The following is a 25958-nucleotide window of genomic DNA, read 5'->3' as shown; positions in this document are numbered from 1 at the left end:
TCTTAAAATTATAACTTTTTTGGGTACACAGTAGGTGTATATATTTTGGGGGGGAATTGAAGCTGTTTTTATTGTTTGATTGAAGTTTCTTCGAGAACATTGTTGAAAACTTATTTCACATTACCTTATTCAGTTGCATTTTATATGTTGAAAAATTTTGTGGTCGTAAAGATTTGTGTCACTAATATTTTGGTTCAGGCAGGCTGTGAATTTAGCATTTCATTATGTGTAGTTAATTGTCTGGAAGGTTTGACTTAAATAATGGAAGCAGGCTATTTTTTTGTGTCGTAAAATGTATAGTTATAATAAAGAGGACTCTTGAATTTTGCGTCTTTGCTGTTAAACTGTAGGATAACTGTGAAGTGCAAACTTACTTTTTGATAGTGTTTAAGAAGTTTACTCTCCCTTCACGCTATTTGTGGTTTTAAAGGTAGTAATGGGTTTATTGGTTTGAATATGCAAGGCAGTTATACAGATACTGACTGGAAGGTAAGTTCATTTGGAAGTTCAAGTCGGAGCATGATTTGCCCTTTGTATCAGAACCAATAACCATAGTGTTACACCATTTTATTTTTTATGCAGCAAGCGTCCAGTTACTTATCACATTTAAATTTTAGACAAATGAATTTCAAGTTTCAGAAGTTTACAAGGAAAAATAAAAAATCTACGTGGTATTTTAAAAACAGTTTACATCATCTAGAGTCATTTATTCGTTGACTTTTATGAGGTAATGATGACATAGGTTATTAACAATATGTAGAATGTATTCGTAGCTTTCTTCTAGGAGATATGAAGAAAAACATTAATCGAAGACAGTTTCTTGGGGCTTAGAAGAGAAGAATTTTTGTATGGCAGGACTTTAAAGGGGATTTTCACACCCTGGTCTTAAGGGATGTGGTTTAAGAATACAGTGCATTTTTGCCTTCAGGAGACTAATTAAATTTCTACATTTTCCAACAGCCTGAAAAAGATCCTTTTTCCTTATTTGGGTAGTTAAAAAACAAACCACAAGCCACCAGTCAACATATCTTTCTAGTTCCTCCTCAAATCCCAACTGTCTCTCGTGTGTGTGTGTGTGTGTGTGTGTGTGTGTGTGTGTGTGTGTGTTCGTTTCCTCCTAAGAGATAATTTATACTTAAACACAGTTTTGACGTGATAGAATATTTTTAAAAAGCAAATCTTTGAAAATTTTGATGTCTGAAATGTGATGTTTGTATTTATTTTAGTTCTGAGAGACTGTCTTAACTATATTTTGGTGAGCAATTTTGGGTGGTAAATGCAGATTTGCAAGATGCCTTCTATTTCTGTAAAATCCAAGCACTGGTTTTGTTTCATTTAAAACCTCAGACACGATTATTCATGCCAGTGACTTAAAAGAACAAACTTTGGTGATTTTAAGTTTTGGTTTGGCTTTGTTAAATAGAGGTAAATGGATAAACACTCATTTTTATTGAAGTTTGACTATACTTTCCTAAATACTAAAAGATAACAGGATTTGTTTCTTGCATTGGTAGTAAGGATTTGCTTTTGCACTCTGCTGTTGCTAGACTGTCTCATCATTTTTCTTTGTATTAATATTTCACAACTCATCACATTCTTATTTTTATTATTTGTTATTATAATGCTTTTTCCCCTTTATTCTTACTATCTCTGTCTTTTAAAAACTTGTTCTCTAACTTTGTTTTCCATTTTCTCTTTTTACTTTTTCCATACAGTGTTGTTACAGATCTTATAACAGTCGGTTTAAAGGTAGGAATCTTTTACTATCCTTTCATATGCATTTTTATATCTTTTGGCATATTTTCAGTCTCACCTGTTCATAAAATTATCTGCTTTATTGTGTAAAAGTCTTTAATTTTTACTTAGCTCCAAAATAAGTAGACCTGAGGTAACTTTGGATTTTACGTATTTATAAGGAGGAACTATAGTATTATGTGTATAAAATGTGAACAAAAAATTTAGCCCAAAGTTTCACTTAAATTATCAGGATGCTTTTTGTTTGCTTTGTTTTAGCAGTTAAATGTAGCCTAGGCTTAGGCCGGGTGCGGTGGCTCACACCTGTAATCCCAGCAGTTTGGGAGGCTGAGAGGTGGGCGGGTTGCTTGAGCCCAGGAGTTTGAGACCAGCCTGGGCAACATAGTGAAACCCTATCTCTATTAAAAATAAAAATAAAAAAATTAGCCGGGCATGGTGGTGCGTGCCTGTAGTTCCAGCTACTTGGGAGGCTGAGGTGGGAGAATCACCTGAGCCCGGGAAGTCAAGGCTGCAGTGAGTGTGACCGTGTCACTGCACTCCAGCCTGGACAATGGGAGTGAGAAACTGTCTCAGAAAAAAAAAAAAAAAAGTGTAGCCTAGGCTCTGATTTATCTTCTTACCATGTCCTTTCTTATATCCTCTTTCATGGATGTGCTTATGAGAATAAGCAGCTGACACTTCTTTCTTCAGTGCCTACTATGTGTCAGGTGCTTTACATGTATTTTTACCAATCATAGCAATCCTTCAAGGTAGGTAATCAGTATTCCCATTTTAGAGGTGAAAAAATAGCTTTAGAAAGTTTGTGTCCAAGATGTGGTGCACTAGTGTTCAAACTCTTGTCTTCCAGGTACCAAAGCCTGACTTTTTTTTCGTTATACCTAGCTGTCAGCAATGAGAGTTCTGTCTAAAAGGCAAACATCCAGAGAGCTGGATAATTAGTATTTTATAATAATGATTCTTCTAGGTTATAAATCATTTCAGTTTTACCAAAGTCTTTTCATTTATTGGATTTTTTTTTTTTGAGGCGGAGCCTCCCTGTTGCCCAGGCTGGGGAACAGTGGTACAATCTTGGCTTACTACAACCTCCACCTTCAAAGGGGTTCAAGTGATTCTTCTGCCTCAGCCTCCTGAGTAGCTGGGATTACAGGCACATGCCACCATGCCTGGCTAATTTTTTTGTATTTTTAATAGAGACGGGGTTTCGACACGTTGCCCAGGCTGGTCTCCAACTCCTGACCTCAGGTGATCCGCCCTCCTTGGCCTCCCAAAGTGCTAGGATTACAGGTGTGAGCCACCACACCCGGCCCATTTATTGGATTTTTAAATATAAATTAAGTAAACAGTGCTCATCTGTATGAGACTTAAAATATCTGGGTGTTCTAAAGGTTCCCTTAGTAATTTAATATTTGATATAGCTGAGTTGAGAATCTAGTTCTAGAAGCCACTTACAGTTCAAATTATTGTAGAAAGAAATAATTCATCTTTGTTTATATGTGTCTTACACATTATAGATTGACTTATGTAAATTTGTTCCACCACTTTGGGTCCATCTGTGTTCATCATCTCTTCTTGTTAGCAAATTTCAGTGCTCCTACTTTATTTGCATTTGTTGGACCTGACAGTGGTGTTCATTCATGGTTTTTTGTTTGTTTTTAACTCTGTCACCTAGGCTGGAGTGCAGTGGTGGCATGATCATAGTTCGTTGCAGCCTCTAACTCCTGAGCTCAAGCCATCCTTTCACCTCAGCCTCCAAAGTAGCTAGTAAATCTACAAGCGTGCACCACCATGCCCAGCTGGGATTTTGCTGTGTTGCCCAGGCTGGTCTCAAACTCTTGGCCTCTCAAAGTGCTGGGATTGCAGGCATGAGCCACTGTGCCTGCCCTAAAGATATGTCTTCATAAGTGAAAGAAGATTTAAATGTTAGATGCAGGAACCATATTTGAATACAAAATTTGGCTTTCTGACTACCTGCTTTTAGCAAGCACTTTGTAAACAAAGGTCAGATCCTACTCTGAAGAGAAGATAAGCTTATTAGTTGGTTCAGTAGCAATCTATATTTTTATAGGCTTAGATCTGGGAATGTAAAATTATGCATTATCTGGAGAAATTTCTCTAAGATTGTTCTTTTTGGATTCCATCCAAGGAATCTTAATTACCAAGTAAATACTAAGAGGCCAGTAAGGCTCATAATTCATCTAGATCGTGTGAAAGATAATCTAGCAGTTACTTAATTTCCCTTGTATGCCATCTGAATATGATGACACAACAAATGGTTTCAGCCAGTGGCAAGAGTGGATTTCAGGTTATCTTCCATAAGTTGCTTCCCTGGATTCAGAAGAGTAATATGGACTTTTAAAAAAAGAATTGAAAATACTCTGTAGTATAATATAAAATCCATCGTTTTAGAGAAAGAAAACTGAGTTGTTTTTAGAGATTAAGTGATTCACCAAAATGTGTCATGAGGGCAGGGATTTTTGCTATTTTCTTCACTACTGTGTTTCCAGTGTCTGTCACATAATAAGCTCTCAGAAATACTTGATGAGTGAATGAATGCCAAATTGTCACATGGCTAGTTAGGTAGAATACTTATACAGGAACTTAAGCTTTCTCATTTTGCTAGTGTTTTTTTTTTTTTCCTCTATTAGTCATATACTATGGTGAGAAAGAAATCATTTCATTTTTTAAATTGGAATTTTCTTGAAGACAGGTAACATTTTTCAGGCAGCTTAGGGCTGTCTCATGTTATACCTAAGTGTATACCTTGGATGTTATTTGTGGTGTTACAATTTTTTGAGCCTTGCCAAAATTAAGAAAATTAGTTTCTAATACTACTTTCATGAAAAATTTGTTCTATTTCTTCATGTACTTTTTTTGAGACGGTGGTCTCCCTCTGTTGCCCCAGGCTGGAGTGCAGTGGCGCAATCTCGGCTCACTGCAATCTCCACCTCCTGGGTTCAAGTGATTCTCCTGCCTCAGCGTCCTGAGTAGCTGGGCTACAGGCACACGCCACCATGCTCGGCTAATTTTTTTTTGTATTTTTAGTAGAAACGGTTTCACCATATTGGCCAGGCTGGTCTCGAACTCCTAACCTCGTGATCTGCCCGGCCTCCCAAAGTGCTGGGATTACAGGCGTGAGCCACTGTGCCCGGCCTTCTTCATGTAATTTTTATATTTTGAAATGCTTATTGGGAAACTGAGACGTATTTGCTATTTTTTTTTTTTTCTTTGAAGGCAGGCTCTACCTCTGTCATTGCCCGGGCTGGAGTACAGTGGCACAATCATGGCTCACTGCATTCTCCACCTCTAAGGCCCAAGTGATCCTCCTACCTCAGCCTCCTGAGTAGCTAGGACCACACCCAGCTAATGTTTAAGTTTTTTTGTAGAGACGAAGGCCTCACCATGTTGTCCAGGCTGGTGTTGAACCCCTGGCCTCAAGTGATTCTCCTGCCTCAGCCTCCTAAAGTGCTAGGATTACAGGTGTGAGCCACCACACCCAAGCATAATTGCTGTCTTTAATTTTGAATTCTTTTAAATGAAGAACCAACTAGATGATAATGAGTGATAACTGTACATGTTTTAAGAACTTTATTATACCAGATAAATCAAAGTGTCAGACTGTGGATAACATAGCATTTTGTGTGTGTACAGCTTATACTTTAATTATTAACTGGCTGGCTTATTTTAAACTTGAATATTCCTCATAATCCTGGTTATTTTTTCAAAATACTGTAGTAGCGATTAGAGTATGATTTTAAGAAAATGACAGTCTTACATATCAAATATGTTTTAGACTTTTTCTGGGTTTTCCTATTTTAAGTGAGTAGATGAGTATGAAAAACTCACATATATGGGAAGGACTTCTAGTGATTATCATGCCTGTCAGTATATAGAAGAGAACAATATAGCATATTTAAATTAATTTTGAGGATTAGTTTTCTGTTTGCTTGACCAAGGGTTGGCAAACTATGGCTATGGGCCACATTTGGCTTGCCACCTGTTTTTGTAGTTTTACTGAAACACAGCTGTGCTCATTCATATTGTCCGTAGCTCCTTTCACACTACAAAGGCAGTCGTAGTTGTAGTGGAGACTGCAAAGCCTAAAATACTTACTCTCTGGCCCTTTACAGAAAACGTTTGCCTGCTGCTGTGCTTGAGCTATAGGAAATGTAGAAGGCATTTGCTGCAATCCTTTTCCTTTTAAACTGAGCTGTAATTTACATAGAATGAAATGCACATGTCTTAAGGGTACAATTCAGTAAAATTTGACACTTGTATCCACTAGTGTTTCCTGTATACCTCATTCAAGATAATAGAACACGCAGTCTAGAAAGTTCCCTGTTGCCTCTTTCCAGACCCAGTTTAGGCAGCTCTTCTGATTTCTATCACCAGAGATTAGTTTTACCTGTTTTGTTTGTTTGAGACAGGGTCTCACTGTGTAGCTCAGGCTGGAGTGCAGTGGTGTGATCAAGGCTTACCTCAGTCTCAACTTCCTGGGCTCAGGTGATCCTCCTGCCTCGGCCTCCTGAGTAGCTGGTACTACAGGTGCGCTCCACCGCTCCGGGCTAATTTTTGTGTTTTTTGTAGAGACTAGGTTTCGCCATGTTGGCCAGGCTGGTCTCCTGGGCTCAAGCCATCTGCTTGCCTCGGCCACCCGAAGTACTGGGGTTACAGGCATGAGCCACCGTGCTTGTCCAGTTTTACCTGTTTTTGAACCTCATATAAATGGAATCATAGAGCATAAAAGCTCTTTGATGTCTGATTTCTTTTACTCAGCAAAATGGTTTTGAGATTCATCTTTGTTCTTGCATATATCAGTAGTTCCTTTTTTTTTTTTTAATTTCTGTGAGAATTCCACTATGTGAATATAATGCAGGGGTTTTTGCTTCTTAGTTCAACTAAATCCAGGTTCTTGTCTCACAACCAGGAGAAATTAGGCATATGGACACATTGAAGGGTGAGGAGAGTGGAATTTATTAAGCGAAAGGGGAGCTCTCAGCAAAGAGAGGGGTCCCGCCAGCTGGCTTCCACCTCAGGTTGAATACCAGGCCACCACACTCCCTAGCCTAAGGCGTGAATTCCTGGTGGCTCCACCCCCTTCCCCCAGTGTGCAGACGGGCCCTTAGTCTGAGCCGCTCCACGTTGATTTATTTCCCTTACTGCACATATGTTAAGTGATGGAATTTTTCACTGTGGGCGTATTTAGGCAAGCCTCCTGTGCATGATGACCTGGGCAGGTCGAAGGTTCTCCGGGGACCCTTCCCTCTTTGCCTAGGCATTTTGCCGTCTCTTGACTCTTATCAAATATATAACAGTATTTAAAAATTGATTCTCATGTTGATGGACATTTGGGCACTTTTCAGTTTGGGGCTATTATGAATAAAGCTACCACGAACATTTATGTGTAAGTCTTTGGGTATATGTATGTTTCATTCAATCCATGACTAGGAGCAGAATTGCTGGGTGATAGGATATGTAGATGTTTAACTTTATAAGAAATTGTTCAACTGTTTTTCAAAGTGCTGTACCACCTTACACTCTGATCAGCTTTATATTAGAGTTCATTTGCCTCATGTGTCAGCCAAACTGACAACACGCTGGGTGTTGTCAGTTTTTAATTTTAGGTATTCTTGTGGACTAGTATTTCCTCATTTTAATTTTGTTATTGATCCAGTGATTGGTGGTGGTGAGTTTTTTATGTGCTTAATAGGCATTCACTTATCTTCTTTTGTGAATGTTAAGTCTTTTGTCTATTCTTTTAAAGTTGTTTTTTTTTAAAAAAAAAAAAAAGAGGTAGTCTCGCTCTGTCACCCAGGCTGGAGTGCAGTGGTGCGATCTTGGCTCACTGCAACTTCTGTCTCCCAGGTTCAAGCGATTCTCGTGCCTCAGGCACCCAACTAACTGGGACTACAGGTGTGCAGCACCATGCCTGGCTAATTTTGTATTTAGTAGAGACAGAGTTTCACCATGTTAGCCAGGCTGATCTTGAACTTCTGACCTCAACTGATCCACCAGACTCGGGCTCCCAAAGTGCTGGGATTTCAGATGTGAGCCACTGCACCAGGCCCTCAACATACATATTAATTATATTTCCTTTAACTTTTTTTTTAGTGGTTGCTGTATACATTGTAGCATATACATTTACTAAGTTTATAATGTTTTCCTTCCCCTTAAAGAACTTTTAAAAAACTTTTCGCAGGTCCATTGACATGAATTCTCTTGGTTTTGTGTTTCTGCTTTACTCCGAGGATGCTTTTTCTCTGCATACAGAATTCTAGGTTGTCTTTTTTTTTCTTTTCCTTTTTTTAAAAAAACTCTTTAAATATTTCACTTCACTTTCTTTTTGCTTGTATGGTTTCTGATGAGAAAGAAACCTCTGTAATTCTTGTCCCTGTACCTCCATAGGTACGGTGTTTTTTCTTCTGGTTTCTTTCTTGATTTTCTCTTTTGTTTTCTTCAGTTTGAATGATATGCCAAGGTATGGATTTTTTAGTGTTTATCCTGGTTGGTTTTCTCAGAGCTTCCTGGTTCTGTGGTTTGGCTATCACTAATTATGGAAAATTCTTGGCTGTTATTACTTTTACATGTTTCTTCTGCCCTGTACTCTCTCTCTTTTTTCTAGAAAATATCAGAAAATATTTCAGTTACTTCTGTGTTACACATTTGAAATTGTCCCACAGTTCTTGGACATTCTCTAATTATTTTCCTTTGCATTTCAGTTTGGAAAGTTTCTGTTGGAATATCTTCAAGCTCATTGATTCCTTCCTCAGCCGTGTCCAGCCTACTGAAAGTATTCTTCATTTCTGTTACAGTGTTTTTTATTTCTAGCATTTCCTTTTGGTTCTTTTACAGAGCATTCATGTCTCTGGTATATTATCCGTTTTTATTGCATGTTATCTACATTTTCCATTACAGCCAGTGACATATTGACCGTCATATTGCTAAGCAATCAGTGGGCTTGCTGTCTGATGTGCATAGAGGCCAATACCATGGCACTTTTCTTTTTTGAGAAAAGAAAAGCTTTATTGTTGTTGAATGGCAAGGAGACAGAAGGAAATGCTTAAACCTGTCTCCTCTAGCTGGGGGATGGCATTGGTTTTATAGGCATTGGGCAATGAGGCATGATCCGAGGTGATTCCAGGAGGCAGGATTTAACTGGATCCTCCCATGTGGTGTCTGTTTTTTGAGATAGGATTTTGCTCTGTTTCCCAGGCTAGAGTGCAGTGGCATGAATCATAGCTCACTGCAGCCTTGAACGTGTGGGTCCAAGTGATCCTCCTGCCTGAGCCTCCTCAGTAGCTAGGGCTACACAGACATGGCACCATGCCCGGCTAATTTTAAACAATTTTTTTTGTGGAGACTGGGTTTCTCTATGTTGCTGAGTCTGGTGTTGAATGCCTGGCCTCAAGTGATCTTCCTGCTTCAGCCTCCCCAAGTCTTGGGATTACAGGCATGAGCCACCACACCTGTTCAGATGTTTGCTTCTTAATTCAGTCTCCATTCCTTGGTCCTGACTCTTGGGTTCCACCCATGGTTGCAAGCTTGGTTCACCTGGACATGTCCGTGTTATGTGACCTACCACCTCGGGGTCCATAGCAACTGAAAAACAACTCACCATCTTATTACACAAAGGTGGACCAAGTTGGGTTGGTTCTGTGGTTAAAGTTGTTATTTTAAACCATGTCTGATAATTCCAAAATCTGTGTCCTGTTTGAATCTGGTCCTGATGCTTGTTTTGTCTCTTTAGTCTGTGTTTTTTCTTAAAAGGTTTAAACACACCTTGTAATTTTTTGTTGAAAGCCAGACATGTTGTATCAGAGAATAGGAACTGAGGTAAAAGGCCTTTAGTGTGAGTTTTATGTTATTCTGGCTAGGATTTTCTTCAGTGTCCTTGTTTTTGGCCCCTCTTCTAGAGTCTGAGCCTTGCAGCTCTTTGAGCTATAATCCTTTGCTATACTAGAGTCCTGAGATGTGGTAAGGTGTTGGGGAGAGAAGCATTCCATAGCCTTTTGATTAATATCAGCTGTTCCCCAGGCCTGTGTCTGTGCCTCTGATATGTGACTTTCACAAGTGTTTCACAGTTTTTTTCCCCCTTAGGTAGGCCAGGTAAGCCAGAAGGGACTGGAGTTTAGGAAATACCCATTCCCTAGATTGGACTAAGTAAAGTTTTTTGAAAACATCAGGATAAGACTATAATTTTGAAGGAAGCTCTTGCTCTTGGGTGTATTTCACAGAGGTTACTGTTCCCCCTCCTCCTGCTAGAGACTGGAAAGGGCCTTTCTTTTTTTTTTTTTTTTTTTTTTGAGATGGAGTCTCGCTCTGTCTCCTAGGCTGGAGTGCAATGGCACGATCTCAGCTCACTGCAGCCTCCACCTCCTGGGTTTAAGCAATTCTCCTGCCTCAGCCTCCCAAGTAGCTGAGACTACAGGTACACGCTGCCATGCCTGGCTAATTTTTGTATTTTTTAGTAGAGACAGGGTTTCACCATGTTGGCCAGGATGGTCTTGATCTCCTGGCCTTGTGATCCGCCCGCCTTGGCCTCCCAAAGTGCTGGGATTACAAGGGCCTTTTTGTATCTTCACCTTGAGAACTTGGTGTAGGGTTCCTGGAGGGTAAAGCCTAGGGAAGTATGGGGGCCCCTTAGGACTACAGGCTCTGAGGGTTTCTTACTTGTATGTTAGTTCATACTCAGCAGTTTGTCAGAGTTACCATTTAAGTAGTCCTGTCAATTTATAGTTCCAGCAGATTCTGCTCCAGACAAGGATACCTCGATTGTGACTCTGGATTCGGCAGTCTTCAGATTTTGATGTGGTGATTTGCCTCATGACCTTACTTCCCTGATTGGTCCAAGAATAGCTGATGAATTTTAGTTTGTTAGGTGATTTTCTTTCTTTCTTTTTTTTTTTTTTCAGACTACGTCTCACTCTGTTGCCCAGGCTGGGGTGCAGTGGTGCGATCTTGGCTTACTGCAACCTCCGCCTCCCAGGTTCAATCGATTCTCCTGCCTCAGCCTCCTGAGTAGCTGGGATTACAGGTGCGTGCCACCATGCCCAGCTAATTTTTATATTTTTAATAGAGACAAGGTTTCACCATGTTGGTCAGGCTGGTCTCAAACTCCTGACCTCGTGATCCACCCCTCTCGGCCTCCCAAAGTGCTGGATTACAGGTATGAGCCACCATGCCCGGCCAGTTTTCTTTTTGTAAAGGCAAAAGTGACAACTTCCAAGCTGACTAGGAAGTCCTACCCCTTCTTTCAAATAGGGTTTATATTTCTATTATTGAGTGTAAGAATTCTTTATATATTGTGAATATAAGTCCTTTGTCAGGTGTATGTATTGTGAATATTTTCCTGTCTGTGGCTTGTTTGTTCATTCCTTAATGGTGTCTTTTGATAAATAGAAGAATTTAATTTTGATACATTTAATTTCTTTTCCTTTTAGGTTATAGCTTTGTATGTCTCATCTAGCTAAGGAATCTGCTTATTCCAAAGATGAGAAGGAAGATTTTCTCATTTATTTGCTTTAAGAAGCCTGTAGTTTTAGCTTTTATGGTTTAGGTCTCAGATGTATCTCAAATTTATTTTTGTGTATGGCGTGAGTAAACAGTCCAGGTAGTTCGGCACCATTTGTTGAAAAGATTTTCCTCTCCAGACTGAATTGTGTTGGCACTGTTATTTGAAAATCAACTTACCATACGTAAGTGGGTCTGTTTCTGTATACTGTATTCTTATCCCTTGATCTAGTTTTCCATTCTTATGTTAATATCACACTGTCTTGATGACGGTGGGTTTATAGTATATCTTAAAGTCGAGTTGTTTTGTTCTTATCAAAATTGCTTTGGCTATTCTAGATCATTTGATTTTCATTTTAAAATTTAAAGTCAGCTTGTCATATTATATAGACAAAGCTGTGATTTTCCCTGGCATTGATTAAAATCTACAGGTCATTTGATGTTTGACATTTTATTTTTTAAAATGTGTTTTTTAGTTTTAATTGACAAAAATTGTATATATTCATGATATACAACATGTTTTGTAATATACATTGTGCAGTGACTAAATCAAGCTAATTAACATATGCATTGTCACTTATCATTTTTTCTGGTGATAACACTTAAAAAAAAATATATATATATATATATATATATTTTTTTTTTTTTAAGAGAAAGGGTCTCGTCCTGTTGCCCAGGCTGTATTGCAGTGGTGCAATCATAGCTCACTGCAGCCTTGAACTCCTGGGCTCAAGTGATCCTCCCACCTCAGCCTCCTGAGTAGCTAGGCCTATAGGGTGCATGCCACCATGCCCAGCTAATTTTAAAAACTGAAGTATATAGTCACCATGTTAAACAATTGATCTCTCGAACTTATTTCTGCTAACTGAAATTTTGTATCCTTGACCAAAATCTCCTCAGTTTCACCCCCAGCCCCTGGTAACCACAATTATACTCTCAGCTTCTATGATTTCAGCTTTCTTAGATTCTGCGTGTAAGTGGGATCATGCAGCATTTGACTTTCTGCGCCTGGCTTATTTTGCTTAACGCAGTGTCCTCCGGGTTTATCCATGTTGTCTCATGACAGGATTTCCTTCTTTTTAAAGACTGAGTAATATTCCATTGTACATGTATACCACATTTTGTTTATCCATTCATCCACTGAGGGACATTTTGATTGGTTTCATATTTTGGCTATTGTGAATAATTCTGCAATGAACATGGGAATGCAGATGTCTTTTCAACATACTGACTCCATTTCCTCTGGATATATACCCAGTAGAAAGATTGCTGGATCATATGGTAGTTGTATTTTTAATATTTTTAGAAACTTCCATACTGTTTTCCATAATGACTGTACTAATTTACATTCCCACCAACTGTGTACAAGGGTTTCTTTTTTTCCTTTTTTGATAATAGCTATTCTAACAGATGTGAGGTCATATTTCCTTGTGGTTTTAATTTGTAGTGTCTTGATGATTAGTGATGTTAAACACGTTTTTATATACCTGTTGGCTGTTGAATACCTGGGACTATAGGCACACGCTACCACACCTGGCTATTTTTTTATTTTTGTAAAGTCGCAGTTTCTCTGTATTGCCCAGGTTGGTCTCGAACTGCTGAGCTTAAGTGATCCTCCTGCCTTGGCCTCCCAGAATGCTGGGATTACAGGTGTGGGCTACTGCTCCTGGCTGTGTCTTCAATTTCCGTCTTCAGTGTTTTGTAATTTTTGATGTACCCTTCTTGGTTAAATTTATTTCTGAGTATTTTTTTTTTGTAGCTATTGTAAATGAAATTTTCTTTCTTTTTTTTTTTTTTCTTGAGACGGAGTTTCGCTGTTGTTGCCTAGGCTGGAGTGCAATGGCATGATCTCGGCTCACTGCAACCTCCGCCTCCCAGGTTCAAAAGATTCTCCTGCCTCAGCCTCCCGAGTAGATGGGATTACAGGCATGTGTCACCACACCCAGCTAATTTTGTATTTTTAGTAGAGACGGAATTTCTCCATGTTGGTCAGGCTGGTCTTGAACTCCCGACCTCAGGTGATCTGCCCGCCTTGGCCTCCCAAAGTACTGGGATTACAGGCGTGAGCCACTGTGCCCGGCCCATAAATGAAATTTTCTTAATTTCTTTTTGACATTTCAAGCATATTGAGTCTTTTATGAAACAATATCTCAATTTTTTTTTTTTTTTGGAGACAGTCTCACTCTGTTGCCCAGGCTGGAGAGCAGTAGTGGGATGTCAGCTCACTGCAACCTCTGCCTCCCAGGTTCAAGTGATTCTCCTGCCCTAGCTTCCTGAGTAGCTGAGACTACAGGTGTGTGCTACCATGCCCAGCTAAGTTTTATATTTTTAGTCACGATGGGGTTTCACCATATTGGCCAAGCTGGTCTTGAACTCCTGACCTCAAGTGATCTGCCCACCTTGGCCTCCCAGAGTGCTGGGATTATAGGTGTGAGCCACTGCACCCAGCTTTCAAATTCTTTTATGTCGTCTTTAATTTCTTTCAATGTTGTTTTGTTGTTTTCAGTGTACAGGTTTTGCACATGTATGCCATTTTTCTTGCTAATGTAAATGGTGTTTTATTGTCAATATATAGAAATACTTTGCATATTGATCTTGTGTTTTGTGATATTGCTATAAAAACTTACTTATTACCTTTTTTTGGGTAAATTTCTTAGGATTTTTAATGTACATGATCATGTCATCTGAGAATGTAGTTTTATTCTTTTCTAATCTGGGTGACCTTTATTTCTTTTTCTGACTTCTATGTATCTTTGCCTTACTGCTGCTCCTTACGGGAAAACAGGCAGTTTTTCTTAGCTGTAGGTTTTTCTTAGATGCCCTTTTTTAAGTTGGAAACATTTCTTATTTCTTGTTTGTTGTTCTTTGGTAACATTAATGGGTGTTGGATTTGTATCTTTCAAGGAATTTTTGTATTTCAACTAAGTTGTTGGGATTTATGCATGTAAAGTTGTTCATAATGGATTTGTTTGTTTGTTTTTTGTTGTTTTTGAGTCTAGCTCTGTCACCCAGGCTGGAGTGCAGTGGCGCGATCTTGGCTCACTGCAACCTCCGACTCACGGGTTCAAGCGATTCTCCTGCCTCTCCTGAGTAGCTGGGATTATAGGCGCACACCACCATGCCCGGCTAATTTTTGTATTTTTAGTAGAGACAAGGTTTCACCATGTTGGTCAGGCTGGTCTCAAACTCCTGACCTCGTGATCCACCCACCTTGGCCTCCCAAAGTGCTGGGATTACAAGCGTGAGCCACTGTGCCCGGCCCATAATGTTTTCTTACTATCCTTTTAATGTTGTAGGATCTGTAGTAATTTTCATCTTTTCAGTACCGATATTCATAATTGATATTTTCTTTTTTTCCTGATTGGTCTAGCTTTCAGTATTGTTGGTCTATTTGAAAAGCAGCTTTCGGTTTTATTCATTTCCTGTGTTGATTGACTCTTGAATTTCATCAGTTTTACTCTTTATTTCCTTCTTTCTATTTACATTGAGTTTAATTTGCTTTTCTTGACTTGATATCTTTCTTTTAGACAGGGTCTTGCTCTGTTGCCCAGGCTGGAGTGCAGTGGTGCAGTGGTGGATCCTGGGCTCAAGTGATCCTCCCACCTCAGCTCCCAAGTAGCTGGGACTACAGGCATGTACCATTGTGCCTCACTAATTTTTTTTCTTTTTTTTCTTTTTTTTTGGATATGGGGTCTCACTGTGTTGCCCAGGCTGGAGTGCAGTGATGCAGTCTCAGCTCACTGCAACCTCTGCCTCCTGGGTTTAAGCAGTCCTCCCACCGTGCCCAGCTAATGTTTTAAAAACATTTTTTGTAGAGATGGGGTTTTGTCATGTTACCCAGGCTGGTCTTGAACTCCTGGGTTCAAGTAATCCTCCTGCCTTGGCCTCCCAAAGTGCTGGGATTACAGGCGTGAGCCACTGTTCCTGGCCTTTTTCTTTACTGTTTTTTTTTTTTTGAGATGGTGTCTCACTTTGTCGCCCAACCTGGAGTGCAGCGGCATGATCTCAGCTCACTGCAGCCTCTGCCTTCCGGGTTCAAGCGATTTTCCTGCCTCAGCCTCTCAAGTAGCTGGGATTACAGGTGCACACCACCATGCCCAGCTAATTTTTATATTTTTAGTAGAGACGGTGTTTCGCCATGTTGGCCACACCACTCTTGACCTCCTGACCTTAGCATTAAATGATTAATTAACTCACTGACCTCAAGTGATCCACCCGCCTCGGCCTCCCAAAGTCCTGGGATTACAGGCGTGAGCCACTGTGCCCAGCCTGATACCTTCTTTTTAAGCAGCTTAAAACAACATTTATTTGTTAGTATTAAAATTTGTTATCTGCCAGTGTCTGTGTGTCAGGAATCTGGGCGTGGGTTACTTGGGTTTTCTGGTTCTAGAACTTTTACAAGGTGCTGGTGGGTGCTGCAGTCATCTTCCAGGGAAGAATCCATGTTCGAGCTCACTTGTGTGGTTGTTGGCAGGAGTCATCTCCTGGGCCTTTGAGCTAAAGGCCTTACTGGAAGCCACACTCAATTTCTTGCCATGTGCTTCTCTCCTTAGGGCAACTTGCTTCTTATAAATATGTAAAAAGAGAGTGAGAGAGTATGAGGTAAAAGTCTTTTGAAACCTAATTTCAGAAGTGGCATTCCGTCATTTTTGCTGTATTCTGTTCAGTAGAAGCGAGTCTCTAGGTGCAACCTATACTTTAGGAGAGAGAATTACACTTGGACATGAATTCTAGGAGATGGGGATCATTTGGCACCACCTTAGAAGTCTGCCTACCATGCCACAAGAGAAACTGGATGATCCAGGTGTAATGCATATGCTTAACTTTACTAGATGGTTCCAGAGTACTGTCTATTAATGTATGAGAGTTACCATTGTTAACAATGTATTGGCAACACTTGCTGTTGTGACTGGAGATCTTTTTTAATGTAATCATTTAATGATATAAATTTCCCTGTAAGCACGGCTTTAGCACTATCTCAAAATTTTTATCCTGTTTTCATTTTTATTCAGAGAAAATTAAATTCCAAGAAAGTAGAAGGAAGGAAATAATGAGTAACTTAGACCAAATGTACAAATTCCTTGAAAGACAAGGAACTGTTAGATGACCACAACTGACATGAGTTGGAAAGTGTTCCCTTCTGTTTGAAATAATTTGTGTAAGATTGGTATTATTTCTTTTAAAACTCTTTGATAGAATTCATCAGTGTAGCTATTTGTGAGTGTATTTTCTTTGTTGGAAGGTTTTAAATTATGAATTAAGTTTTTAAAACCATGTTATTCAGATGTTCTATTTCTTTCTTTTTTAAAATAGTTTTTTATTTTTATTTTTTGAGACAGGATTTCACCTTGTCACCCAGGCTGAAGTACAGTGGCGCTATCATAGCTCACTACAGCCTTGAACTGGGCTCAAGTGATCCTCCTCCTCAGCCTCCTGAGTACAAATTTTCTATTTCTTTAGCTGCATCCCACAACTTTTGATATGGCTGGGCTTTAATTTTCACTTAGTTCAAAATATTTTGTGTTCTTCCTTGGGACTTCTCTTTTGGCCCATGATTTTTTATAAATGTGTTTAATTTATAAATATTTTGGTTTTCCAGATATCTTTTTGTTACTGATTTTTTTTTTTTTAAAGCTTACTACTTTGATCAGATAAGATGTTTTGTATCATTTCGGTCCCTTTATGTATCCAGAAGTTTGTTTTATGTTAAACATGGTTTGTCTTTATGAATGTTCTGTGTACACTTGAATGTGTAGTCTAATTTTGTTGGGTGTAGTGCCTTTTAAATGTCAGTGGGGGCCGGGGGCGGTGGCTCATGCCTGTAATCCCAGCACTTTGGGAGGCCAAGGTGGGCGGATCACGAGGTCAGGAGATCGAGACCATCCTGGCTAACACGGTGACACTCCGTCTCTACTAAAAATACAAAAAATTAGCCGGGCATGGCAGCGTGTGCCTGTAGTCCCAGCTACTTGGGAGGCTGAGGCAGGAGAATGGTGTAAACCCGGGAGGCGGAGCTTGCAGTGAGCCGAGATCGCGCCACTGCACTCCAGCCTGGGTGACAGAGCAAGAGTCCGTCTCAAAAAAAAAAAAAAAAATGTCAGTGGGACAGACTGGTTGAAATTCAGGTTTTCTGTATCTTTACTGATTTTTTATTCTGTTAAAGAGAAGAGAAATATTGAAATTTCTGTCCGCAATTGTAGATTTGTGTATTTCTTTTTGTAGTTCTGTGAGGTGTTTCTTTTTTGTTTTTTTGTTTTGTTTTGTTTTGTTTGAGACAGGGTCTCGCTCTCTAGCCCAGGCTCTCTTCTAGGCTTAAGGGATCCTCCCGCCTCCGCCTCCTGAGTGGCTGGGACTGAAGGTACACACCGCTGTCTCTGGCTAATTTTTAAATTTTTGTAGAGATGAGTCCTTGTTCTGTTGTGCAGGCCGATCTCAAACTTCTGGGCTCAAGCGAACCTCCCACTTTGACCTCTCAAAGTGCTGGGATTAGAGGCACGAGCTACTGCACCCAGCTGTTCTGTCAGTTTTTGCTTTACGTGTTTTGAAGCTCAGTTACTATATGTATTCACATTTAGGAGTGTTATATCTTGATGAGTTGACCTTTTGTCTCCTTGTGAAATATACATTTTTATCTCAGTAATAGTTCCTATCTTGAAGTGTACTTTGTCTAATGTTAATGTAGCCATTCCAGCTTTCTTATGATTGGTATTTGTGTGGTATACATTTGTCCCTCTTGTCCTTGGGAGATTGGTCCAGTACTTCCCAAGGACCCCAAAATTTGTGGATGCAGAGGCTGAAGTCTTTTATATAAAGAGAGCAGTATTTGCATATAACTTATAGCACATCCTGCTGTATACTTTAAATCACCTCTAGATTACTTAGAATGCCTAATACAGTGCTTACACATAACCTCATTTGCGTGGATTCATTTAAGGTAGTATTTGGCACATGGCAAATTCAACTTTTGCTTTTTGTAACTTTGTGGAACTTTTTTTCCCAAATGTTTTCCGTCGTCAGTTGGTTCATCCATGGATGAATTCATCGGTATGGAGAGCTGACTGTATTTTTTTCCTATTCCTTTTCCTTTTCTTTTAATCTATCTATGTTTAAGATAGGTTAAAGAACAGTTGAGCCAAAGACAACAAATGGCGAGATGGTGGACTTAAATCTACTTAAAAGGATTAGCTTCCAAAAGACTTGGGCTTTGCTTTCTTTTTGCTCACTCTGATAAAAGTGAGCTGCCATGTTGTAAGTTATCTTATGGACAGGCCCATGTACAAACTGAGTCCTGCCAGCAACCACTTGAGTAAGTGTGGAAGTGGATCCTTCATGTGTTCTGTTAAGCCTTGAGATGATTCCGGTCTGTGATAGACTCTCCAGAGGACCTAGCTAAGCCATGTCCAGGTTTCTGACTTCCACAAATTAAGTTACAAAATATTTGTTTTTTCCAGCTGCTAAATTTTGGAGTAATTAGTTATCCAGGCATGGATAAACAATACAGCTGCCTGCTCACAATGGTGAATAAATATTGAAGAAATGAATATAAAAATAACTTATTAGGCTGGGTGTAGTGGCACACACCTGTAGTCCCAGTGCTTTGGTAGGTTGAGGTAGGAGGATTATTCGAGCCCATGAGAGGAGGTTACTGTGAGCTGTGATTACATCACTGCAGTCCAGCCCGGGTGACAGAGCGAGACCCTGTCTCTTAAAAGAAAAAAGTCTTATTAATGTCAGAGTAAGATTATGTAAGTGCAAGTACTTTTTTGTTGTAAATTACTATGGGTAAGACTTTCTTATATGATCATGTTATCTTTATCTGATAGCTTACCATAGTGTGTACATACCACATATGTACTTTGATTTTCCTTTTCCTTTTTTTTTTCTTTGAAACAGTGTCTTGCTGTCACCCAGTCTGGAGTGCAGTGGCACAATTTCAGCTCACTGCAGCCTTGACCTCCTGAGCTCAAGCAGTCTTCCCACTTCAGCCTCCTGAATAGCTGGGAATACAGGCATGCACCACCATACCTGGCTAATTTTTGTGTATTTTGTAGAAACAGGGTTTCGCCATGTTGCCTGGGCTGGTCTCCAACTCCTGGACTCAAGTGATGTGCCCACCTTGGCCTCCCAAAGTTCTGGGATTACATGCATGAGCCACTGTGCCCGGCCTGCTTTTTAACAGTTTATTTTTTCTTAGTGTACTAATGTGGTGAATTTCATTGATTTATTATTATTTTTTAAAATTTTATTTTAATATAAAGTTACAGAAAGATTATAAGAAGAGTACAAAGAACTCGTATATCCTTTACCCAGTTCATATTTGCACCATTTTTCATTTATCATTTCCCCGATTGTCTTACCATTTCCCCTTCCATATATAGTCTTTCTATAGATGTAAACGCACACACACACGTCCTTTTTTTTTTTTTTAAAAAAAAAAAACAAAAAAAAAAACAAGGTCTCGTTCATTCAGTGGTATGAACACAGATCACAGCAGCCTTGATCTCCTGGGCTCAAGTGATCCTCTTGTCTCAGTCCTTGAACAGCTGGGGACCACAGGCATGCACCACCACGCTCAGTGAATTGTTGTTGTTATTGTTATTGTTGTTTTGTAGATACAGGGTCTCACTATGTTGCCCAGCCTGGTCTCGAACTCGTGGCCTTAAGTGATCCTCCTGCCTTAGCTTCCCCACTTTTTTTTATGTCTTAATCACTTGGTTAAGGTGATTTTCTGCCAGGCTTTTCCATTGTAAAGTTACCAATTTTCTTTTCGTAATCAATGATTTGTTGGAAGATGCTTTGAGACTAGAGTTTATTCTTTAACCCCTAAATATTTGAGTGTATTACCTATAAACAAAGAATTTCCCATTCATTACTGTGATACAGTTAACAAAATCAGGAAATTAATCTGAAATAGGTCCTCAGTCTTTTTGTTTCATTACATTGACTCTTTTTTTCTTTTTAAAATAAAGATGTGGGATTTCACTATGTTGCCCAGGCTGAAGTGCAGTGGCTACTCACAGGCACGATCCTAGAGCACTGCAGCCTCCAACGTCCTGGGCTCTGATGATCCTCTTGCTTCAGCCTCCCATGTAGCTGGGACTACAGGCATAAGTCACCACACCCGGCTAATTAAAAAACCGTTTTTTTTCAGAGACAGGGTTTAGCTCTTGTCCAGGCTGGTCTCAGACTCCTGGCCTTAAGCTATCCTGCCTCATCCTCCCAAGTTGCTGGGATTACAGGCCTGATACACTGTGCCTGGCTAGCAAATCTGTTTCAGAGTACAGTTGTCCCTCAGTATCTAGGGGGGGCCAAAATCCATGCATACTCAAGTTCTCCAGTTGGCTCTGTATAGGTGAAGTCTGCCTGCATGTATAAAAAGTCAACCTTCATATAACTGGGTTTTGCATCCTGGGAATACTGTATTTTTGATCCTCATTTGGACTCGGGCAGTTCAAACTCACTCATGTTGTTCAGGGTCAACTGTATTTCCATATAACTTAACTCAGTTCCTTCTGAATACTTTAAGTCATCTCTAGGTTATTTATAATACGATTTAATGCTATGTAAATAGTTGTTATGCTGTATTGCTTAGGGAATAATGACAAAAAAAGTCTGTACATGTTTATACAGATGCAGTTTTTTTCCAAATATTTTCAATCTGTGATTGTTTGAATCTACAGATGCAGAACCCATGGATACGGTGGGCCAATCGTATATTAAAAAAAAAAAAACACATTTTCCACCATAACTGCAACTGCCCTGGCCCTTAATCCGGATTATCATCACAGCTTCCTAACCAGAGTCCTTCCCTCTTTGTCTTGTTAAAGACTGTTCTTAACACAGCAGCCAGAGTGATCCTTTAAAAAAGCAAATTGATCTTTTCACTCCTGTTCAAAACTCTCTTTCCCTCATTTCGCTCAGAGTAAGGTTCTTTAGAATGGCCGTTAAGGCCCTGCATGCTATGACACACCTTCTCTCTAATCTCTTTACTTCTCCCCTTGCTCATTCTCTTTCAGCCATAATTGCCTCCTTACTGTTTTTCCAGAACATGCAAGGCATTTTGTTTCCTCTACCTACAACATTCTTCCCTCAGATATCTACATGCTTACTCCTTACTACTTGTAAGACTTTGGTTAAATGCCTTTTTCTCTTAAGTCGTACCTTGCTGTCCTATTTGAAATTGAAATTCTTTTCACCTCTGGCACTCCTGATGCTTTTTCTCCTACTTTTTAAGAAGCACTTAAGACTTTAGGACATAATACATAATTTACTTACTTTGATTATTATGTTTCTTTGTGCAAGATTGTAAGCTCCATTAAGGTAAGGGCAGGGATTTCGTTTGTTCCCTAATCTTCCCCAGTGGTTAAAGGCCTGGCACATAGCTGGTGGCTCAGTAAATATTTATCGAATTTGTTGAATGAATGAATATTATTGCTAACACATTTATACATACTGAATTCAATATGTATGGGCTATACCTGTATGGTAAGAACTGAATAAATATACAAATGAATGTCTTTTTGATTGGATATCATGAATTAGAAGGCTTTTTAGAGGAATTACTTGCAGGCATTAAAGAAAATATTCAATATGCTGTCTTCAAAAAAAGTGTTGATATTTTGTTGTTAAGATGTCCATATAAAATGAAGGCAGTCAGAATCATTTTATTGAAACTGTGTCCAAACAGTAGTTTTTAAACATTGCCACAGCTGCTCATTGAAAAAATTTCCTCTACCTTTAACTATTCTTTTTTGTTCCCACTGCCCTAGAATCTCAACAGTGGCAGTCTTGGAATAAAAATGTCACAAATGAACAATTTGGTAACTATTCTTTAGAGAATATTTAGGGATAATCACACTCAGTAGATGAAAGGTGTTGATGGGGCCACAGTGTATGTGAGAATGTGATCTCATTCAAATGGGTCAGTCAGTAGAGTTACCAATAGCAAATGTCTTTAGGTTTAGATGTGTTTATAGTTACAGGAGGCTATGGAAAGGTGAATGTTAAAAGGCTAAATGTCTAAAACAAAACAAAACCCTTGGAGTTTCAGGTAGTGCCACGCAATGAATGCAGACCCCCTATTGACTATTGTTTATTCCTTTATCTCTATAGTTATTACTCAATTTTTTTTTTTTTTTTTGAGACGGAGTCTCTCTCTGTCGCCCAGGCTGGAATGCAGTGGCACAATCTCAGCTCACTGCAGCCTCCACCTCCCTGGTTGAAGCAATTCCCCTGCCTCAGCTACTCGAGTAGCTGGGATTACAGGCGTCCACCACCACGCCCAGCTAATTTTTTTGTATTTTTAATAGAGACGGGGTTTCATCATGTTGGCCAGACTGGTCTCAAACTCCTGACCTCAGGCAGTCCGCCCGCCTTGGCCTCCCAAAAGTGCTGGGATTACAGGAGTGAGCCACCACACCCGGCCTGTTACTTATTTTTTAAGAAAAAAAGTTTTGAACATCGATTATATATGAAACATTGTAGTAGGTTCTGTAGAGGAGTATATAAAGGTAAGTAATCAGGAGACCATAATCAATACATGCATATGGTATAGTGAAACTCCATATCAATATCACTTTTATTTCTGTTTTTGGAAAAACTTAGAGCAGAACCAGTATGAGTTTTCTGTCCTGGGAAGTGTTCACACGGGGTCACTAGACTATCTGTTAGAAAAAGGTAGGACTTGGATATTTCAGTATTTAAGATGCTATTAATTTAAAAAAAAAAGGTCTAGGATTCTGGAAAATTATGAAGTAGTTTTTTGATAGCCTCTTTTGTATAGTCATGTAGTATCTTGATAGATTAAAACAAATATCTTTTCTTGAATTTCATATGCATTTTAGATACATGAAGTTTAACCATGAATTAATGGTTTATTTTCAGAATCATCCGTACATGTTACTTCAACGTCTTTAATGCTAAATAAAACCAATTCCTATCAAATTTGATGATGAAACACTTATTTGTGCTGTTTAATTACAGTATTTCTTTGCTTTGTTAGCCCCGTGAATTATGCATCAGCAGGCGAGAGCTTCAGTAATTGATACTTGAGCCAGTAAAGCTGATTGTGTGCTGACTTAGCCAGAGAGCTGACAAGTCCACAGAGCAACTGCTGGACTTATGTAAATTTGCTGTGTGTTTCTAAGGACAGTCTCCTTAGAAACACACAGTGTTGTTTGCAGCCAGCACCTGCCCCGCCACTCCCCTATGTCTTCACATTTTGCTAGTTAAGGCCTTCTTTTGTATACATTAATTTGTTTACCCGTGGTACAGTCTTTTATTCTTTTGGTCGTCTGCATTCACTTGTCCAAGTTTTCCTTCCTTTTAAAAATGTCTTCATTCTGCTTGATTGTCTTCCATTCTTCCCTTAAACCGTAATCTGTTATCATAGCAGTCAAACCTTACGGAAAATTGCATTTGAGACACTTAGGATATAAATATTAAGTATAATTTTGAGAAATCCTTTTCATTTTATATTGAAGTAGTCTGTAATTAAATGCAGTGATATGTTTTCAGGAGAAAGAATTTATGTCTAGGAAAGAAAAGTTTTTTTTTTTTTTTTTTTTTTTTTTTTTTAAATAAAAGGAGTAGGTTTAACATTGGCCAGGTGCAGTGGCTCAAGCCTGTAATTCCAACACTTTGGGAATCCTAGGCCAGAGGATCACTTGAGCCCAGGAGTTTGAGACCAGCCTGGACAACGAAGTGAGACCACATCCCTACAAAAAATAAAAAAAATTAGCTGGGCATGGTGGTGCATGCCTCTAGTCCTAGCTACACAGGAGACCAAGGCAGGAGGATGGCTTGAGCCCTGATTATGCCGCTGTACTCCATCCTGGGTGATGGAGCAATACCCTGTCTCAAAAAAAGGGAATGTTTAAAGCAGGGCTTCCCTGGGCCATACTGGAAGAAGAATTGTCTTATGCCACACATAAAATACACTAACACTAACGATAGCTGATGAGCTAACAACAACAAAACACCAAAAATATCTTAATGTTTTAAGAAAGTTTATGAATTTGCGTTGGGCGGCACTCAAAGCCATCCTGTGCCGCATGTGGCCCATGGGCTGCATGTTGGACAAGGTTGGTTTAAAGTAATAATACAGAACTAATAACTCTGTTTTCCTCATCTTTTACAATGTTTTACAAAGTAGTGTGACTCTTGGGATTTAGCCTTCATAATATCAAAAAAGCCTTTGTTTTCTGTAATTTGAAAGTGAGTTCTTGGGAAAAAACTTGGCTAGAAAATTGTGGTTATCAGAATTATTTTTTATGACTAATTTTCAAATGTAAGTTTCTTTTGTTCTCTTTGTCTTTTGTTTTTCATGTTCTGAAATTATTAGGGGGAGAAAGTTACCAGCTTTTAAAAGTGTCATAATTGCTTCAGAAACGTCTTGTTTATTTTATATAAAGAATGATAAAACATTTCCCGGAATGAAACTTTATGATCTTATTTATCTTTTTTATTTTTTATTTTGGGACAGGGTCTCCCTTTGTCACCCAGGCCAGAGTGCAGTGGCATGATCTTAGCTCACAGAACCTCGACCTCCTGGCTCAATCAATCCTCCCACCTCAGCCCCCAAAGTAGCTGGGACTACAGGTGTGTGGTACCATGCCCGGCTAATTTTTTGTGTTTTTGGTAGAGATGGGATCTCATTCTGTTGCCCAGGCTGGTCTCGAACTCCTGAGCTCAAGTGATCCCCCCACCTTGGCCTCCCAAAGTGCTGGGATTACAGGCGTGAGCCACCGCGCCTGGCAAATATCTTATATTTTAATTGTTCTTGATGTGTAATAAGACAATAAAAATAGCAATTCCAACACTTCAGTTGATACTAGGGTCCCCTTTACTTATGTGTTATTTTAGGCATGTTTTATTCTTTTCAAAAAGCTCTTCCTAATATCATTGAAATAGAATTGAAGTAGAATTATCAAATGTAATTGTTTATTTTGAAGACTTTGCAACTTTCACCATGTCCTTATAAATAGAGTTTATATTTTGAATGTGACAGTTAAGATGTTGCATTCATTTAACTACAAATTTGGCCAGCACTTTGGGAGGCCAAGGTGGGTGGATCACCTGAGGTCAGGAGTTTGAGACCAGCCTGACCAACATGGCAAAACCCTGTCTCTACTAAAAATACAAAAATTAGCCGGGCATGGTGGTGTGTGCCTGTAATCCCAGCTACTTGGGAGGCTGAGGCAGGAGAATCGCTTGAACCCAGGAAGCAGAGGTTGCAGTGAACCCAGTAGCGCCACTGCACTGCATCCTGGGTGACAGAGCAAGACTCTGTCTCAAAACAAACAAACAAACAAACAAACAAAAATATATATATATATATATACAAATTTAAATTAATTTTCTGGTTTTTCTGTACTTGAATATTTGATCATATTTTCAGACTACTGTTTTTCTTTACAGATGGAAGTCCAATGGTAATTCAGAGGTTAAGAATAGTGTTTTTTTTTTTTGCCCAGGCACAGTGGTTTAGGCCTCTAATCGCAGCACTTTGGAAGGTCGAAGCGGGCAAATAGCTTGAGCCCAGGAGACCAGCTTGGGCAACATGGTGAAACCCCATCTCTACAAAATAATACAAAAATTAGCTGGGCATGGTGGTGTGCATCTGTGGTCCCTGCTACTCAGGAGGCTGAGGTGGAAGGATCGCTTGAGCCTAGGAGGTTGAGGCTGCAGTGAGCTGT

General features: G+C 39.4%; 1 protein-coding gene across 18 annotated transcripts in view, besides 1 other annotated feature; it reads left to right on the top strand.

The window, feature by feature from the left end:
- PTBP3 (polypyrimidine tract binding protein 3) overlaps window positions 1–25958 on the top strand; it is a 162168-nt gene that overhangs the window by 47693 nt on the left and 88517 nt on the right. For 10 of the 18 annotated variants that reach the window (XM_047424274.1, XM_047424273.1, XM_047424271.1 and 7 more), the window contains exon 2: window positions 1716–1749. The exons of the other annotated variants lie outside the window; for them this stretch is intronic. Coding sequence is in view for 7 of the 10 variants with exons in the window: in NM_001163790.2 (NP_001157262.1) it covers window positions 1716–1749 (34 nt within the window). In the remaining 3 variants the exon portion in view is untranslated. The remainder of the gene's footprint in view (window positions 1–1715; window positions 1750–25958) is intronic. 18 annotated transcript variants of the gene reach the window in all.
- Window positions 7382–7907: an enhancer, noted in NCBI's record as "H3K27ac-H3K4me1 hESC enhancer chr9:115086563-115087088 (GRCh37/hg19 assembly coordinates)". NCBI's record gives its function as "activates a minimal SCP1, AML or CMV promoter by ChIP-STARR-seq in naive and primed H9 embryonic stem cells {active_cell/tissue: H9 hESC(naive and primed)}" and the evidence as "EXISTENCE:reporter gene assay evidence [ECO:0000049][PMID:30033119]".

This window comes from Homo sapiens, chromosome 9, assembly GCF_000001405.40.
Source record: "Homo sapiens chromosome 9, GRCh38.p14 Primary Assembly".
NCBI classification, from domain to species: Eukaryota; Metazoa; Chordata; class Mammalia; order Primates; family Hominidae; genus Homo; species Homo sapiens.
Note: the sequence above shows the minus strand (reverse complement) of the source record. Positions and strands in the feature narration are given on the sequence as shown.